The 19,408-nt window shown below is 46.3% G+C and overlaps 1 long non-coding RNA gene across 2 annotated transcripts; it reads left to right on the top strand.

Annotated features, from left to right (window-relative positions):
• The first annotated feature begins 1,726 nt into the window (after nt 1–1,726).
• On the top strand, nt 1,727–18,821 carry LINC02213 (long intergenic non-protein coding RNA 2213). 2 transcript variants are annotated; one of them, NR_134289.1, is made up of 3 exons: nt 1,727–2,055; nt 17,236–17,342; nt 18,287–18,821. It is a non-coding gene; the product is annotated as a long intergenic non-protein coding RNA 2213 (long non-coding RNA). The 2 variants fall into 2 exon arrangements; NR_134290.1 differs by lacking the exon at nt 1,727–2,055 and adding an exon at nt 14,617–14,754.
• The last annotated feature ends 587 nt before the right edge of the window (nt 18,822–19,408 follow it).

Below are 19,408 nucleotides of genomic sequence, written 5' to 3'. Positions count from 1 at the left end.
AAGCTGAGGGCTGGAGGGCAAGGGAAAAGTTAAACCAGGAGTGAAATCACATTTCCATGTGCACTCACACAGGGAGAATGAGATTCCACCTCCCTCTTGATGCACCAGCCCAGCCCTGCAGGTTGAGTAGGAGGTGGTGTGAGAGGGCCCCCCCAGCACAGGCAGAACACCTGGAAGAAGACTTGACTCTGTTTCCTTTTGTGCCCTTCCCACGTCTCCCACCCTGCTGCCCGCTGCCCTGGCTAATGTGGGCTTGGATCATGAAATGATTTGGCTCTGTGTCCCCACCCAAATCTGAATTATCACTCCCATAATCCCAGTGGGAGGTAATCAAATCATGGGGACGGGTCTTTCCCCTGCTGTTCTCGAGATAGTGAATAAGTCTCAGGAGATCTGATGATTTTATGAAGGGTAGTTCCCCGCACAAGCTCTCTTGCCTGCCACCATGTAAAATGTGCCTTTGCTCCTCCTTCACCTTCCACCATGATTGGGAGGCCTCCCCCACCATGTGGAACTGTGAGTGCATTAAACTCTTTTTCTTTATAAATTACCCAGTCTTGAGTATTTCTTCACAGGAGTGTGAAAATGGACTAATACAGATCATGATCCCTGCCACAACCTTGCTTGAGTGTGGCCTACTGGGCCCTTCATTGTCTAAATCTGGCTCACATCTGAGTTTTGACTGAGCATCTCTCACCCTTTCTAGGGGCCACCTCTCTCTATTCACACACACATACAGACACACACACACAGGCACAAACATGTGCACACACACACACACATGTGCGTGCACCCCACTAAAGCAATACCAACCCGTTTGCCCAGGCCCAGCCCTCTCACTCCCCAATGCCCTCCCCTCCCCTTCTCAGGCCTGATGTCAGCCTCAATTCCACCAGCAGGCTTTTTTCAGGAACTTGCAACTCCTTCCAGTCAAAATACAGCATTTTCTGTATGCCCCACATTCTCAACGCACAGATGATGAGAGACAGACAGATAACTGTCTTCTCCCAGTTTAGTTAGTGAGACAAAAAAATACAATTGCCTGCCAAGTCTAAGCACCCTCTAGACCTGCACAGTCTTCCAGCCGTCCAGTCGAGGCCTAGGCCTGTGCCCATCAGAGGTGACACCACGGAATGAGCGTTTCCCGTGAGCCTGGTGCTCTTCGGGCACTAACAACACTCGGTCCTCAAACAGCCTGCCCAGGTGTGTACTGTTATCACCTCCATTGCACAGAGGAAGACGTGCAAGGCACAGAGAGGTTAAGTCACTTTCCCACTGCCACAGAGCTGGTAAGTGGTGGAGACTGGATTTGAACCTAGGCAGCTCTAGAACTCGCTCTCCTAACCAGAATCCAAAGGGCCTTGCCTCACCAAATGTCCCCATTCCCAGACCTGCATCACCCAACAGTGCCCATGACACGGGGTTTACCATAGTTATCTATGCTGCGTAACAAGCATCCCACATTTGATGGCATCAAACAAGAACCATTTTCCCATGCCCAGGGATTCTGCAAGTCAGGAGTTTGGAGAGGATGAAGCCTCAGCCAGGAAGCTGTGAATGGCCATGGCTGACATCCTCCAGGGGCTTCTTCCCTCTTAACCCCTGCCCTGGGAAGCCAGGTTCAGCCAAGCCTGTGTATGAGCCCCAGTGCCTGGCTGCTTCCTGTACCTTGGGCTTCTGGCAGCACAGAGGCGGAGTTCTGAGCAGGAACTTCCTGAAGGGAACGTTCCAAGGGAACCAGGCCTCAGCATCAGGCCTGTTCTGCCCTGGCCTCGGATTGTAGCACTACGCCAGCCTGGGACATCATCGGCATCGATTCTACTCCATCCTATCAGTCACAAGGGAGCCACAGGCCAGCCCTGGGTTCCCAGGGATGGAGAGACTCTGCTTCTGCATGCGGGAATGACACAGTCACACTGCAGAAGAACACGAGTGTAGAAGGCAGCATCATGGCCATTTTTGGTAAACACAACCTGCTGCTCACCCGCCTTGCCCAAGCCTACCTCTTCCAGAAACTTCTGTGTCCCAATTATGGTTCACCTTGATGTCCTAAAGGTATTGACTGCTTACTTCATTGGTCACATTGTCCCTGTGAATGGAAAACCATGACTTAGGGCTACCATACGAGCATTCCATGGTGGCCAGAGTGGCCTGACCCCCTAGTGGTACTAGTGGGGATGACGCTGGAACTGATAGTGGCCTCCCTCTTGTGTTGTTGTGGCATCTTTCCCGGCAATTGGGTGATCAGAAGACACCTGCATTTCTGACCCAAAGCTCTTACAACTTGCAATTGCTCAGGTGGTTGGGGGCGGATCACCTGAGGTTGGGAGTTCGAGACCAGCCTGACTAACGTGGAGAAACCCCAACTCTACTAAAATTACAAAATTAGCCAGGCGTGGTGGTGCATGCCTGTAATCCCAGCTACTCGGGAGTCTGAAGTAGGAGAATCACTTGAACCCGGGAGGCAGAGGTTGTGGTGCACCGAGATCACGCCATTGCACTCAAGCCTGGGCAACAAGAGCCAAACTCCATCTCAAAAAAAAAAAAAAAAAAAGGAACTTGAGCTTTCAGGTTATCATTTGACCATTGACCAAAAACAAGCAGCATTTCTGCTGTGGGGGGGGCGGGGGGGCAGGGGGGCCAGGGGGTGGAAATGGTACAGAATCTTATATTTGTTCAGCTGCTTTATTTTTTTTTTGGTGGCCCCTGGATGAAGAATGGAGATGCAGGCTTGCTGTGTGGCTATAATTGATTTAATACTCAAAAAAAGGGACCAAGAGTCAAAAGCATTTTCTCAAAGTACTCACTACTTTTAAATGACTCTCTAGAAGGAGAGGAAAGGAGGTTTCCTCCAACTCTGCTTTCCCTGGCCTTTGAGAGGCGTGGAAAGAGCCATACGTCCTCACAAATGGTATTCAAAATATGTTTGGCAGCAACTTTTTTATGAAAACACACAAAAGCTTGAGCTAGTACACTGAAATATTAAATACACTTCAATATTTTAGATACTCCTGAAATGCCAACTGACCAAACCAGTCTTTTTTCCCAACTGGGTGTGAAACTCACAACGATCAAGTTTAAGCAATGTATTCATAACTGAGCGTTGACCCCAGGAGATGCCCACTGCCCCAGTAGGGAGGGAGCCACGACTTCTGTGCAAGGGTGCGGCCATGATTGTGTTTTCTTGGAGCCTGCTTCCTAGAGGCGAGCTGACTTCTGTTCCAAGAGGACAGGACAGGCCGGGCACGGTGGCTCATGCCTGTAATCCCAGCACTTTGGGAGACAAAGGCGGAAGGATCACCTGAGGTCAGTTCAAGACCAGCCCGGCCAACATGGAGAAACCACGTCTCTACTAAAAATACAAAAATTAGCTGGCGTGGTGGCACATGCCTGTAATCCCAGCTACTCGGGAGGCTGAGGCAGGAGATTCACTTGAACCCGGAGGCAGAGGTTGCAGTGAGCAGAGATAGCACCACTACTTCAGCCTGGGCGACAAGAGTGAGACTCTGTCTCAAAAACAAACAAACAAACAAACAAAAAAACCCCAAGAGGACAGGACCAAAGAGTGAGGTGTGTGTTGTTGTGCTGGGCATGCCACCTTTGTGTCGACCAGGAGCCTCAGATCTTGGTGACTTTAGGTGCCTTACTTCACTTCTCATCTGTAAAATGGGAGGCAATAGTGATACTTACCCCATGGGGCTGCTGGGCAGGAGGCTGTTGAATGGCTTAATGTAAGTGAAATATTTTGAATATTCCTTGGCATAAAAGAGCTTCTTGCACCTGTCGTACCATCAACGCTCACCTGTCGCAACTAGCAATGGCATTTTGACAAGATGGTCGTTCTCACTTGGCTCCCCAGGGAAATGAGGTTCACACAAACATGCAAACACACACGCAAGCCACCAGTGGGGCCTCCTAGCCCACACAGGCTCCTGCACACAATAGGGGCTCAATCAGTGCAGTTGGCCCTGTGGTTAGCTGGTCTGCAGACCGGAAGGGTCACAGCTGGCCACTAACGCTAAGGACCCATGGGGAGCCTCTAGGCTCTTGGATTCCACTAGAGCTCACTTCATCCCAGAAGTGGTTTTCTTCTACTTCTCTTATGCCAGGAAACAATGCTCTTCTCTCCAGGACAGTCTCCAGCCTCAGGGACTCCAGCTGGTGTCAGAGCCAAGTGAGCGTCTGTGCCATTTGCCGACCACCTGGCCGACGTGGTGGCTTCTGCAGGCTGCACTACCCCTAAAGGAGCTGACTTTTGTCTCTACAGTTTTTATGGCAGAGATTTTGGAGAGTTTTTAAATTTTATTATATTTTATTTTGATTATAAAAACTTTACTGATTTTTATTTTTAACATAACTTTTTTTTCCTTTTTTGAGATGGGGTCTCACTCTGTCACCCAGGCTGGAGTGCAGTAGCTTGATCTCGGCTCACTGCTCTATCTCTGCCTCCTGGGTTCAAGAGATTCTCGTGCTTCAACCTCCTGAGTAGCTGGGATTACAGGCAACCACCACCACGCCCGGCTAATTTCTGTATTTTTAGTAGAGATGGGGTTTTGCCATGTTGGCCAAGCTACTCTCGAACTCCTGACCTCATGATCCACCCACCTCGGCCTCCTAAAGTGCTGGGATTACAGGCATGAGACACTGCGTCCGGCCAATAACTTTTATGTTAACTATGGCTAACTTACAAAAGATTTGCAAGAAACATAAAAACTTCCCATGTACTCTTCACCCAGATATACTAATTGTTTCTGTTTGTTTGTTTTTGAGATGGAGTCTCACTCTTGTCACGCAGGCTGGAGTGCAATGGCCCAGTTTTGGCTCACTGCAACCTCTGCCTCCCGGGTTCAAGTGATTCTCCTGCCTCAGCCTCCTGAGTAGCTGGGATTACAGGCACGTATCACCAAGCCCAGTTAATTTTTGTATTTTTAGTAGAGACGGGGTTTCACCATGTTGGCCAGGTTGGTCTCAAACTCCTGAACTCAGGTGATCCACCTGCCTCAGCCTCCTAAAGTGCTGAGATTACAGGTGCGAGCCACGGCGCCTGGCCTGGATATACTAATTGTCAACATTTTGCCGCATTTGGCCACATCATCTCTGTTTCTTTTTATAAATACACATCTCTTTTTCTTCCTGATCCATTTAGGAGCAGATTACAGACATCATACCCTTTACCCCTAAATATTTCCACATAGATCTCCAACAAACAAGAGTGTTTTCTCACATAACCACAGGGCAGTTATCTGAGCCAGGAAATTTCTCATTGCTGGAATGTGGTTACCTGGTTACCAAGTGACCCAATGATGTCTTCATAGCATTTTTCTTCCAGTCCAAGATCCAAACCAGGATCATACATCATGTTTAGTGGCCAATTCTCTTTGGTCTCCCTTCATCTGACACTGTCTTTTAGCTTTGTTTGTCTTGCACGACACTATATTTTTGCAGGAGCTGCAGAAGTTGTTACTGAAGAGAATCGTATGGAAGATCTGGGATGCCCTTCCCCAGATTCTCTGCCCCATGGGGCCATCTGAGGTCTCCTCATTACTAGATTTGAGTTTGCTGGGAATAAACAATGAAGTCTCCATTCCTTGTGCGTCCCATCACAGGCACATGATGTCGGTTCGGTTCAGTCCCCCACACCCCCGACCCAGCTTTTTTTTTGAGATGAAGTCTTGTTCTTGTTACCCAGGCTGGAGTGCAATGGCATGACCTCAGCTCACTGCAACCTCCACCTCCTGGGTTCAAGCAATTCTCCTGCCTCAGTCTCCCAAGTAGCTGGGATTACAGGCACTCGCCACAATACCCAGCTAATTTTTTTTTGTATATTTGGTAGAGACGGGGTTTCACCATGTTGGCCAGGCTGGTCTCAAACTCCTGACCCCAGGTGATCTGCCCATCTCGGCCTCCCAAAGTGCTGGGATTACAGGCATGAGCCACGGCGCCTGGCCTCAGTCCCCTCTTAGTGACAACGTTGACTTGAGTTGAAGGTGGTGTCTGCCAGCTGTACAATCTTCTCTTTTCCATTGTAACTAACAGGTCATCTGTGGGAGGGACTTTGAGACTAGGTCAATGTCTCCTTCCTCCCCAACCTCGCAACCAAGAGCTTTAGCATTTATTAAGGATTCTTGCTGGACTCGGTGACCAATTATGGTTGTAAAACAGTGGCTTCTCTAAGCCTATTCTTTCTTCTGTGATGATTAGTTGGCTTTCCACTATGAGGAAGAGCTTCCCCTTCTTCATTCACTCATTCATGATCATTATGGACACACGGATTCTTATGCATTTGGATGGGCTGCCATTCATCACTGTCATTATGTATTCTGATTCTCTAACTGTCTTGGATCTGGTCAGTGGGAGCTCCTCAGCTGGCCCCTGTGCCCTTTGAACAGTTCTCCTTTATTTCTTTCAGCGTTTCCTTAATTTCTGGCACTGCAAGATGCTCCAGGCTCATGTTGTTCTTTCTCTTCCTGGAATGACCATTTCTCCGAGGAGCTCTGGTTCCTTTCACTGGAGAATGGCATTCAGAAGCCACAGCGTGGATGCTGGATGTGCTCAGTCCTGTGAGAGTCTTAACCTGGAGTCGGAATATGGGCTACAGGGATCCATGAACCCACTGAGATTGCATACTCAACTCTGTGTGTGTTTATATTTTTCCAAGCTAAGGAGGACAGCTGCTTTTATCAAATTCACAAGAGATCTGAGATCCGAATCTGGCTAAGAATCTTTGCTCTATTGGACCAGAATTTCTTTTATTGTAAAACCCAATTTTTGGCCAGGTGCAGTGGCTCACACCTGTAATCCCAGCGCTTTGGGAGGCCGAGGAGGGTGGGTCATTTGAGGTCAGGAGTTCCAGACCAGGCTGGCCAACATGGAGAAACCCTGTCCCTACTAAAAATACAATAATTAGTCAGGCACAGTGGCACATGTCTGTAATCCCAGCTACTTGGGAGGCTGAGGCAGGAGGATTGCTTGAACCCAAGAAGCAGAGGTTAAAGTGAGCCAAGACTGCAACACTGCACTCCAACCTGGGCAAAAGAGCAAGACTCTGTCTCAAAAAATAAAAATAAAAAAATAAATTATTTTTTGGCCTTCCTTTTTTTTTTTCATGGAGTTTCGCTCTTGTTGCCCAGGCTGGAGTGCAATGTTGCAATCTTGGCTCAGCACAACCTCCACCTCCTGGGTTCAAGCAATTCTCCTGCCCCAGCCTCCTGAGTAGCTGAGATTACAGGTATGTGCCACCACGCCCAGATAATTTTGTATTTTTAGTAGAGACGGGGTTTCTCCATGTTGGTCAGGCTGGTCTTGAACTCCCAAGCTCAGGTGATCCACAGCCTCCCAAAGTGCTGGGATGTGAGCCACCGCGCCTGGCTATTTTTTTTTTTTTTTTTTGCCTTTCTTATACTGACAACCAGTGTTGGGGTGGGAATGGGAGGACAGAGAAAGCAGAAGTGGACATGTCCTGTTGGCTAAAGGAAGAAGAGCCATTCTTTTAAAAAAATAATAATAATAATTTTTTTTTTTTTTGGAGACAGAGTTTTGTTCTTGTTGCCCAGGCTGGAGTGCAATGGCGTGATCTCGGCTCACCGCAACCTCTTCCACCTCCTGAGTTCAAGCGATTCTCCTGCCTCAGCCTCCCGAGTAGCTGGGATTACAGGCATGCGCTGCCATGCCTGGCTAATTTTGTATTTTTAGCAGGGACGAGGTTTCGCCATGTTGGCCGGGGTGGTCTCGAACTCCTGACCTCAAGTGATCCACCTGCCTTGGCCTCCCAAAGTGCTGGGATTACAGGCGTGAACCACTGCACCCAGCCTCTTTGCCCATTTTTGAATTGGGTTGTTGGTCTTATTGTTGTTGAGTTGTAACAGTTCTTTACATATTCTGGATGTAGACCCTCATCAGATACATGGTTTCCCAATATTTTCTCTCATTCTGTGGGTTGTCTTTTCATTTTCTTGATGGTATCGTTTGATGGAAAAAAAAGATTTTGATTGTAGTAAAGTCCAATCTACCTATTTTTTTCTTGTGTTTCTTGTGTTTTTGGTGCCTTATCTCAGAAGCCATTGCCAAACCCAACGTCATGGTTTTCCCTATATTTTCTTCTAAGTGTTTTAGAGGTTTAGCTCTTATGATTAAATCTTTGGTCCTTAAGTTAATTTTTGTATAGGTGTAAGTTATGGGTCTAAAATGCATTCTTTTGCATGTGGCTCTCCAGTTGTTTCAGCACCATTTGTTAAAAAAACATTCTTTCCCCATTGAATGGTCTTGGCATTCAGTTGCCCATAGACACATGGATTTATTTCTGGACTCTCAGTTTTGTTCCATTGGTCTATATGTTTATCCTATGCCAATGCCACACTGCTTTGATTACCATTGCTTTGCAGCATGTTTTGTGATCAGGAGGTGTGAGTCTTCTTACTTTGTTTTTCTTTTTCAAAATTGTTTTGGCTATTCTGGATAAACTATCTTTTTTTTTTTTAATTTATTTTTGTAGAGACAGGGTCTTGCTATGTTGCCCAGGGTGGTCTCAAGCTCCTGGCCTCAAGCAATCCTCCTGCCTCAGCCTCCCAAAATGGTGGGATTACAGGTGTGAGCCTGGCCTATAAGCTATTTATTTTTTATGCAAAATAAATGTCAGGGCTTTATCTGAATAGCAAGTGTGTAAGTAATTATTTGAGTGGCTTGCTTTTTATTAGTTTGGTGCAAAAGTAATTGCAGTTTTTGCCATTGAAATAGCAAACCTACAATTACTTTTGCACCAACCTAATAAAATTGTTTTATTGGTATGTTTAGTTATCTTACATTTTAATCATTTTATTGACATTTCTGTCCATGGTTGTGCTCATCAGTTTATACCTACAGAATATTAAAGACAGATAGGGCCAGGCACAGTGGCTCACCACTGTAATCCCAGCACTCTGGGAGGCCGAGGCGGGCGGATCACTTGAAGTCAGGAATTCGAGACCAGCCTGGCCAAAATGGTGAAACCCTGTCTCTACTGAAAATACAAAAATTAGCTGGGTGTGGTAGCTCGTGCCTGTAATCCCAACTACGTGGGAGGCTGAGGCAGGAGAATCACGTGAACACAGGAGGCAGAGGTTGCAGTGAGCTGAGATGGCGTCACTGCACTCCAGCCTGGGTAACAGAGAGAGACTGTCTCAAAAAAAATAATAATAAGATAAAATAAATAAAGACAGATAAAAGGAGAGAGAGAATGAATTTGCAATGTACTTCTGGACTGTAAAACAGAAATTTGCACACATGTGGAGGTCAGAGACTTGCAGGGCTAGAGGATACTCCAACCCAAAGTGTTTGCTTGGCTGAGCCAGTAATAAGTATCAGGGATCCGGGGAAGACCTGTGGCTCCATTTACAGAAATTAACCAGAGTTCACAAATCCCAGAGATTCCAAAAGTCTATCAACCCTGAAATCTGCTCCCCAGGCATCCGCAACCTCCTGCCCCCTGTTGCCCTAGGCCTCATGCTTTCCTGCCACATTTTCCTGCTGGGTAGACACTGGGGCTGTGAGCCAAAGAGGAAACCCACCTCCACGGGGGTTAGAACTCCAGCTCTGGTTTTGTCGGTAACCATTCTAAACCTTGTTTCCCACAGCCCTTATTCAAACCTGGGTGGAGTCAGGGATGGGGTGGGGGGGATGGGGGGAAGGGGCAAGGGCAGCATCCGGCAGGATAAGCAGGGGCGGAGCATCCCTGTTTTCTTCTATGTGTTGAGGTGCTAAGTTTGGTGATTTTCCAGAAAGACTGACAAGACTCAATAGCAAGTTATATGCATGGCTAACATTTATTCCAGCAAAGGATGCAGAGAAAAGGCCACAGGAAAAGATACGCATTGTTTGCATTCCAGAACAGTCCAGCTCAGGCTCCTTCATGCCTCCTCATCTGAGACCACTCAGAATGTGGTTTTTGTCTGGCAGAGAACTCCAAGGACATGTGTGGAAGACCCGAGGAAACCCATGCCAGTCTCAGGGTCCAAGGTTTTTCGGGTGGTTGATCACATAGACACATTCTGCTTAGCTATCAGCTATGCCAAGTGAAACTCAGGACCCCAGCAGTGAAACCACGTACACATCATCAATTTGATGTTTGTGCAAACTATCCTGACAAGCTGGTTGCATGTGGCCAGTTCCTCCAGAGGTATAGAACAAAATCATTAATCACAGACATCAAAACCTTCCTGGGGACTGCACTCACCAGGGCTGGCCAAGGGTCATTGTTCTAGGCTGCCCTGGAGACATGCAACGAGCAAGCAAGACCTGCCAGGCTGGCTCTTTCTTCACATCTCAATGGTCTAAGTGGCCACTGCTTAGTTACAGATTGATCTAGACGACTTGGAGCTTGGATTCAAGCTCAGGAAGGTACTGACCACTGGGCTTCATTGCTGTGGCTGTGGTTAAGTGAAATGGGAGAACAGCGCAGTAAAGAAGCACACAGATGGCCTGGTTGCAAAGCCCTACTTTGCGTGCATCCTTAAGAAAAGCACATCAGGCCAGACGTGGTGACTCATGCCTGTAATCCCAGCACTTTGGGAGGCTGAGGTGGGCAGATCACCTGAGGTTATGAGTTCGAGACCAGCCTGGCCAACATGGTGAAACCCCATCTCTACTAAAAATACCAAAAATTAGCTGGGCGTAGTGGCGGGTGCCTATAATCCCAGCTACTCAGGAGGCTGAGACAGGAGAATTGCTTGAACCCGGAAGGTGGAGGTTGCAGTTAGCAGAGATCATGTCAATGCACTCCAGCCTGGGCAACAAGAGTGAAACTGTCTCAAAAGAGAGAGAGAGAGAAAGAGAGAGAGAGAGAAAAAGAAAGAAAAGAAAGAAAGAAAGAAAGAAAGAAAGAAAGAAAGAAAGAAAGAAAGAAAGAAAAGAAAGAAGGGAGGGAGGGAGGGAGGGAGGGAAAGAAAGAAAGAGGAAAGGCAAGGCAAGGAAAGCACATCAGGCTGGGCACAGGGGCTCACGCCTGTAATCCCAACACTTTGGGAGGCTGAGGCGGGCAGATCACTGGAGGCCAGGAGTTCGAGACCAACCTGGCCAACGTGGTGAAACCCCCATCTCTACTAAAAATACAAAAGTTAGCCAGGCATGGTGGCACATGCCTGTAATTCCAGCAACTTGGGAGGCTGAGGCAAGAGACTAGCTTGAACCTGGGAGGTGGAGGTTGCAGTGAGCTGAGATTGCGCCACTGCACTCCAGCCTGGGCAACAGAGTGAGACTCATTTTCAAAAAAACAGAGAAGCACACCATCCCTCCATGTCTACAGTCTAGTGTATCCCATCCAAGGGAAGGTTTGTGAGACTGCTGTGTTGGGATGTGCAATGCAAGCTCTCGTTCCCACCGCTACGGCTGTCCAGCAGTTGTCCCTCCTGCTTTGGCCCCTCCTATCTGAGAGGATCTGGAAATCCATAATCTCCACTTAAAGACGGATTCAGGAAATCAGACCCAACCTCTCTAGGACATTTGCTGATCTTTTGTTAGAGGATTGAATGCTGCTAAACTTACCCTACTTGGCATTTTCTACTTGGACAAAAATCTCTTTGCTTCCTGGATGAGTCTGTAAATCCAGTTGGTGTCATTTATCGGTAACATATTAAAATGCTGAAGAGAATTCTTTATTTACTGGCAGGGGGCATTCATTTGGCAAATATTTACTGAGCATTGCAGATAATCATTATTATGATTGTTGTTCAGCAAATATTTATTGGATGCATGTTCTGTGCAAGGTACCATTGACAAACAGGAACACAGGAGATAGAGTGGATTAGATAGACACCGTGGCTCTGCACATGAGATTCCCATCTGTCTGCTAAGGAGGGTGACCAGCTGTCCTGGTTTGCTGGGAATTGAGGGGGTTTCTGGGATGTGGTACTTTCGGTGCTGAAGCAAATCTGGCCTAGCACAAACTAGACAAGTTGGTGGCCCCACTTAGCAGACAGCTGGTCATCCTATTGCTGAGACAGACACTAAAGAACTAACTTCATGGTTATTTATTCCTTGGAATTGTTGTCGGTATTGTGAAGGGAGTGCACAGTGCTGTGAGGGCTTCTAAAAGATCGAGAACACAGCCCCACCGAAGCCACTGCCTCTGGTGGCCCACTGGAACCACCCCCTAGGACCTAGACTGCTTTTTGGGGCTCACAGGGTGGGCCCCTGAGGCCTGTTGCCTCTGGAGCCAAGGCCAGAACTTCCTGTGGTATTCTAGAACAGCAATGGCCAAATGTTCCGGCGGAGGCCACTGCCACTGTGGATCTGCCCTGGCTTCCGCAGAGCCTGGTAGGGTCTCAGCAGAACACTCCCCACCACCCGGAGGAGACTTTCTCCGTGATGGGGCCATGCTGCCCTCCACTCCACAGTGCCAGGGAGGTTTGTGTGGGTAAGAGAGGCTGCATGGACTGAAATTGTGTCCCAAGAACTCATGTCTTTCCTGGAACTTCAGACTATGAACTTATTTGAAAAGAAGATCGTGGTGCATGTAATTAGTTAAATTATCATTATTATTACTGAGACAGAGTCTTGCTCTATCACCCAGGCTAGAGTGCAGTGGCGCCATCTTTGCTCACTGAAAACTCCACCTCTTGGGTTCAAGCGATTCTCCTGCCTCAGCTTCCTGAGTAGTTGGGATTATAGGCACATGCCACCATGCCTGGCTAATTTTTGTATTTTTAGTAGAGATGGGGTTTCACCATGTTGGCCAGGCATGTCTCGAACTCCTGACCTCAAGTGACCCACCCACCTCAGCCTCCCATAGTGCTGGGATTACAGGTGTGAGCCACCGCGCCCGGCCGCCTTTTTTCTTCAGCATTTCCCTTGAGTACCAGTTACTGCAAAGACCTCAGGAGTCGGGAGTTTGAGACCCCAGGCTGCTCTCAAACTCCCGACCTCAAGTGATCTGCCCTCCTTGGCCTCCCAAAGTGCTGGGATTACAGGTGTGAGTCACCACACTCAGCTGTAATTAGTTAAGTTAGGTCAGGGTCATAGTTGTGCAGGATGGACCCTTAATCCAATATGACTATCCAAGATACCCAGAGATAGTCACACAGGGAAGAACGCCACAAGGAAACAGAAGCAGAGATTCGAGCGATTTCGAGAAACAGAAGATTCGAGAGATGCAGCTGCAAGCCAAGGAATGCTAATGCTTGCTGGCAACCACTAGAAGCTAGGAAGAAGCCAAGAGAAATCTTTTCTGGAGGCTTCAGAGAGCACAGCCCTGCCAGCGTCTTGATTTTGGACTTCCGGCCTCCAGAACTGTGAAAGAATAAATTTCTGTCATGTTAAGCCACCCAGTTTGGGGTACTTTTTAAAGGACAGTTTTAGGAAACTAACACAGCCTAAGGAAACGAACGTTGCTGTTCCAAAAGCTGATAGATTATTGAGAACCAAGCTCTCTTCCCCGTTGCATCCCCTTCCCAAAAGCCCCCTCAGTGGGTTCCAGAAGCACCCCCAACCCTGCCAGTCACCCAGACACAGCCCTCACCGGGGTGGGCGTGAGCAGAGAATGACCACGCCCTCTCCCTACGCTCAGTGATGCCTGCCCCACACACTTTGTATTTTCCCTTATTTTGAAAGTTATCCATAAAAGAATGTGTATGTTTTATAATCAGAAGGAAAAAGTTTAAATGAGCAAACAGATTCTCTTTTGGCAAAACATACACAGGTTTCCTATTTCTGCTCCTCGTATAGCCGTAGCCATAGAGTGGACAAACATTATTATTTTCTAACCAATTTATTTTGTCTTGAATTATTTATGTATTATAAAATGAGCTGTTCAGGAAGTAAAATATAGACTCTTTCTTTCTTTCTTTCTTTCTTTCTTTCTTTCTCTTTCTCTCTTTCTCTCTGTCTGTCTCTCTCTTTTTCTCCTTTCTGTCTTGCTTCCTTTCTTTTCCTTTGGCATCTGGGGTTGTGTCCTGACTCCTCTTAACTCGGGCGGGGCTGAGCTGTGCAATCTGCTCAGCGCACCTCTCCACAGCTACGCTAACCCAGGTGACCTGCTTACACCGGCTTTTCCTCTTTAATCCCTGAGTTGAGGATGGAAAACACTGGCTGTTCTGATTTCATTAGGCGGGCAGATGGTATTTGCTAATCACGTAGACAGTCTCTTGAAGACGCCTGTTAAAATGAATGCTGCTCAACATGTTTGGTTCTGATTTACTACATCCCATAGATGGAAACATAAAGACAGAGAGGACCGTGAGAAAAACTGCAATGCTGATGAAGTATCACTCGGCCCTTTTCGTTTCATTCACTGGCTAATCATGAGATGTAGGGAGTGTCCAGCCTTTTCCATGTGTCGGGTATGCAGACAGGATGGAATGTGGTCTATGTATTAGTGAGGCTCCCATCATGGAGGAAGGGTGCAGGGCATACCTGGGCCTCCAGATACACCTGGGACAAAGCCAGGCTCCCTCTCCAGTGCTCATCTCCGCCTCTGTCTGAATTCAACTCCTCCTACTCTAGCCTGGCTCTTCCACAAGCAAGGACCCTCCAGGGGAAGAATGTGCTGCTTCCTCTCAAGCCCAGAAATCCCAGGGAAGGGCTCTAATTGGCCCCAATAGGGTCAGGTGCCCAGCTCTGACCAATCAGTGGTGGCCACGTGGGGAGAGTCTGTTAGATCATGGCAGCTCTCTTTAGAGCCATGTGGTTATGGTGGGAAGAAGGAACATCTCCCAGAAGAAGGTTGACTATTACCCTCAGCAGACAAAAGAGTCAATGTCCGCCACATCCCTGCTCCAGCGATCTGGGGTGAGGGTCAATTAAGGAATGTGAGGAGTGCTATGACCACCAGATGCACAAGGGCCTCTGTTAACAGGGAAAGCTGAGTTCTTCTCTTTAACACTGGCCGCCACTGGTTCTCTTTCATCCGAGGTTTGACAATAAAACTGAATAGCGAAAGTAGAGGTGGAGAGCCAGTGTTGCAAGAGAGCCTTAGTGTGGTGGGGAATTCCAGCTGATAGGGAAAGAGAGAGAGAGAGAGAGAGAGAGAGAGAGAGAGAGAGAGAGAGTGTGTGTGTGTGTGTGTGTGTGTGTGTGTGTGTGTGTGTGTGTGTGTGTGTGTGTGTGTGTACAGGGGTACTGAAGAGCTTATTCTCCTTAAAAATCCCAGTTATCTGATATAAAGCATTTTTTCCCAAATTACATGAACTCAATGAATCATGAGCAAACAGACAAACTGAAATTGAGGTTCATTCTACAAAATGACCAGTAGTCACCAAAAGTGTTAAGGTCACGAAAGACAAAGACACTGAGGAACTGTCACAGGTTGGAGGAGATGAAGGAGACCAACAATAAAGGACGCTGGATTGTATCCTGGAATAGAAAAAGGATATTAGGGCCGGGCGTGGTGGCTCATGCCTGTAATCCCAACACTTTGGGAGGCCGAGGTGGGCGGATCACCTGAGGTCAGGAGTTTGAGACCAGCCTGGCCAACATGGTGAAACCCTGTCTCTACTAAAAATACAAAAATTAGCTGGCCATGGTGGTGCGGGCCTGTAGTCCCAGCTACTCAGGAGGCTGAGGCAGGAGAATCGCTTGAACCTGGGAAATGGAGGTTGCAGTGAGCCAAGGTCATTCCACTGCACTCCAGTGTGGGTGACAGAGTGAGACTCTTTCTCAGAAAAAAAAAAAAGAAAGAAAGAAAAGGATATTAGGTAGCATGCCAAAGGTCCCCACGACCACACTCAGGTTCAGTGAATCACCAGAAGGACTCACAGAACTTTAAAAAGCTGTCATGCTCACAGTTATGGTTTATTACAGTAAAGGATACAGATTAAAGTTAGCATGGAACAGGGCACAGAGGGCAGAATCCAGGAGAGACAAACACCAGTTTCTGGTTGTCTTCACCCAGAGAAACTGTACAGACAGCACTTAATTCTCCCAGCAGTGATGTGTGACAACACACAGAAAGTATTGCCAACCAAGGAGGCTCACTCAAAGCCTGGGGCTCAGGTTTTTTATTAGGGATCAGTTATAGAGGCATGGAACACCTCATAGCTGACCTTAGTTACTCAGTCTGCAGTTCCTCAAGAGGTCAAACGGATACAGCAAGATCCAAGACTCCCCACCATAAATCACGCTGTTATTACCGACTATCTGACAGGGCCCAAGGGCCCAAGTAAACAAAGACTGTCATCAGGCAGGATATTTCAAGGGCTTAGAGTTTGTCTCCCAGAAGGTAGTCAAGGGCCAGTCCTTTCTCTGGGAGATGCAGGGTTTGAACACCCCAAGCCTGCTGAGTTAATCCTTTACTTCACAGGGAGAAAACTAGTGTAATTCAGATAAGTCTGTAGCTTAGTTAATAGTCTTGTATCAAAGTTTTTCCCCTGGGTTTGAGCATTGTTCCATAGTTATATACATTTATAACATTATAGGTAGCTAGATAATGGATATATATGATTTGAGCATTGTTCCATAGTTATATACATTTATAACATTATAGGTAGCTAGATAATGGATATATATGAACTCTCTATACTATTTTTGTAAATTTCTCTAAGTCTAAAATTATATCAAAGTAAAATGTTAAAAATATTCATGGAAGGCTGGGCGTGGTGGCTCACGCCTGTAATCCCAGCACTTTGGGAGGCCGAGGCAGGCAGATCACCTGAGGTCAGAAGTTCGAGACCAGCCTGGCCAACATGGTGAAACCCCATCTCTACTTAAAATACAAAAATCAGCCGTGCGTGATGGCGGGTGCCTGTAATCCCAGATACTTGGGAGGCTGAGGCAGGAGAATCACTTGAATCTGGGAGGTGGAGGTTGCAGTGAGCCAAGGTCATGCCACTGCACTCCAGCCTGGGTGACAGAGACTCTGTAAAAAAAAAAAAAAAAAAAAAAAATCCATGGGAACATGGACAAGCAATGGAAGAAATAAGAAAATATATTATCTGTGTGTATCTGGCCCCCTCACCTCATTTGCTCATGGAGTGGAGCCCAATCAATGACTAATTCCAACTCAGGTGTTCACAGCAAAATTCATCACTTACTGCGCATCTGTTGTATGGATGAGGACTCTGATGGCTTCCTGGAGGAATTGCTAAATAAGCATTATCTTTTCAGAAATCAAATCACCAGATAATCTTTCTGATCCTCAGTTTCCCCTGTCTCACAAATGGGAATGAAAATTCTGATGAACTAATAAAGTAGGCTATCAATGGAAGATTGCTGTTAAGAATGTCTTTAGACTCAATTGTCATCCACACTAATACCTGCCTGTCATTCTGCCAGTGCGTTTCTCTTCTACAACTCTCTTTTTGGGGATGTCGCCAATAATCTATATTTCAACAAGATGGATAAAGCTGTGAAAAGGATCGGATTCTGCCCAGGACTTCAAGGTGACATACTTTCCCTTTACTTCTGGAGAGGGTATTCTGTACCTCTTTAGGTTTGTCTTATCCTTGTCTTTCCCCCATTGAAATGTAAGCTGAAAGGAAACAGAGAGCCTTGTCTGTCCCAGGCTTTGCTGTAGCTCCTGCACCTAGAACAATGCCTGGCACTCAATAGATCCATGTTAAAGGAGTGACTGAGTTTCTCTTGGCCATTAAACCCTTAGCATTGGTATGGCTTCTAATAGCTCTGTCAGAATTTGTACACTTCTGGATTGTTCCAGGAATTGGAGGACTACTCTGGGCAGATGTTTAAAACTAGTATCTCTTAATATTTCAAACCCTATATCAGTGTAGTGGCTATGAAAGAAAGAAGTTACTTTTTTTTTTTTTTTTTTTTTTTTGAGACAGAGACTTGCTTTGTCACCCAGGCTGGAGTGCAGTGGCGCAATCTCATCTCACTGCAGCCGCCACCTCCCAGGCTCAGGTGATTCTCATAGACTCAGTCTCCCAAATAGGTGGGAATATAGGCACGCATCACCACACCAGGCTAATTTTTTGTTTCCTTGTTTGTTTGTTTGTTTTTGCATTTTTAGTAGAAACGGGGTTTCACCATGTTGGCCAGGCTGGTCTCAAATTCTTGGCCTCAAGTGATCTGCCAGCCTCAGCCTCCCAAAGTGTTGTAATTACATGCGTGAGCCACCGCACCTGGCCAGTTCCTCTTTTTTTTTTTTTTTTATCAGACATAACCAACTGTTGCAGGAACAGCCCAAGTCCAAACAAGGGCATAAAAATGAGAAGTGCAAGTATTTTCAGACAGGCCTCCCATTATAGACTGTACGACTGGGAAAGACTGATCATACTAACAGTGCGAGGCTAGCTAACTTTTCCCTCCAATTTCCTTCCATAATTGCTTATCTTGGGTGGTTATACACCAATACTTTGTCAAACAGTATGTGACCTCAGCAGAACTGACCAATACATTACTGGAGCAGAATAATCAGTCTTGAAATAAACCCATGGATAAAGGATGGATTGTCCAATAAATGACATTACGACAATTAGGTAAGCATTTGGAAAAACAAATGAAGTTTTGTTACACCATATATGTTATGGATTGAATTGTGTCCTCCCAAAAGATACATTGAAGTTCTAACCCCTGGTATCAGTGCATGTGGCCTTTTTGGAAATAGGGTCTCTGCAGTTGTAATCAAGATGAGGTCATTAGGAGGGCCCTAATCCAATATGACTGACATCTTTATAAGAAGAGGAAAAGAGACACAAACACACAAAGAGGATGCCGTGTGAAGACAGAGGGGCCGAGGCTCAAGTGATTCTTCTATAAGCCAAAGATTGCTGGTGACATCAAAGCGAAGAGAAAGCCGTGGAACAGATAGATGCTCCCCTAGAGCCCTTCAAGAAAGCACAGCCCTGCTGCCTCCTTGCAAACAGAACCATGAAAGAATAAATTTCTGCTGTTTTAAGTCACTCAGTTTGTGGTGATTTGTTATAACAGCCCTAGGAAATGTATAATATCATATCATATAACATAACATAATAAATATATTATAATACAATATTCCAAAAGATCAGATATTTACGTGTTTAAAAATAAAGCATGAGAAGATATATTGGACAGCATATAGTTTGGGGAGCAGAAAACCTTTGTGATCTTAACACTAAGATCTGAAATCATGACAGAAAAGATTGACCAGCTGACTACATCAAAAATATACATTTCTGTATCACTCACAAAAAAGAATAAAGTTAAAAGAAATAGTAGAAGCGTATTTGCCACATATGACAAAGAGCTTATGTGCACAATTCATAAGGGCTCCTATAAATTATAAAAATGTAAATAACTCAACATATGTATGAACAAATGACTAGACAAAGTACACAAGAAATTCAAATGGCAATAAAACACGTAGAGAGTTGTTCTGCTTCACTGATAATGAAATAAATGAAAATTAGGATAAAATATATAATTTCTCCCAAATCATACTGTCAAACATGAATCAAATTGAAAGCCTCTGACACTGACAGCAGCAGCTCCCACATGTCCCAGCCAAAGA

Source organism: Homo sapiens, chromosome 5 (assembly GCF_000001405.40).
Source record: "Homo sapiens chromosome 5, GRCh38.p14 Primary Assembly".
In the NCBI taxonomy this organism is placed as follows: domain Eukaryota; kingdom Metazoa; phylum Chordata; class Mammalia; order Primates; family Hominidae; genus Homo; species Homo sapiens.
Note: the sequence above shows the minus strand (reverse complement) of the source record. Positions and strands in the feature narration are given on the sequence as shown.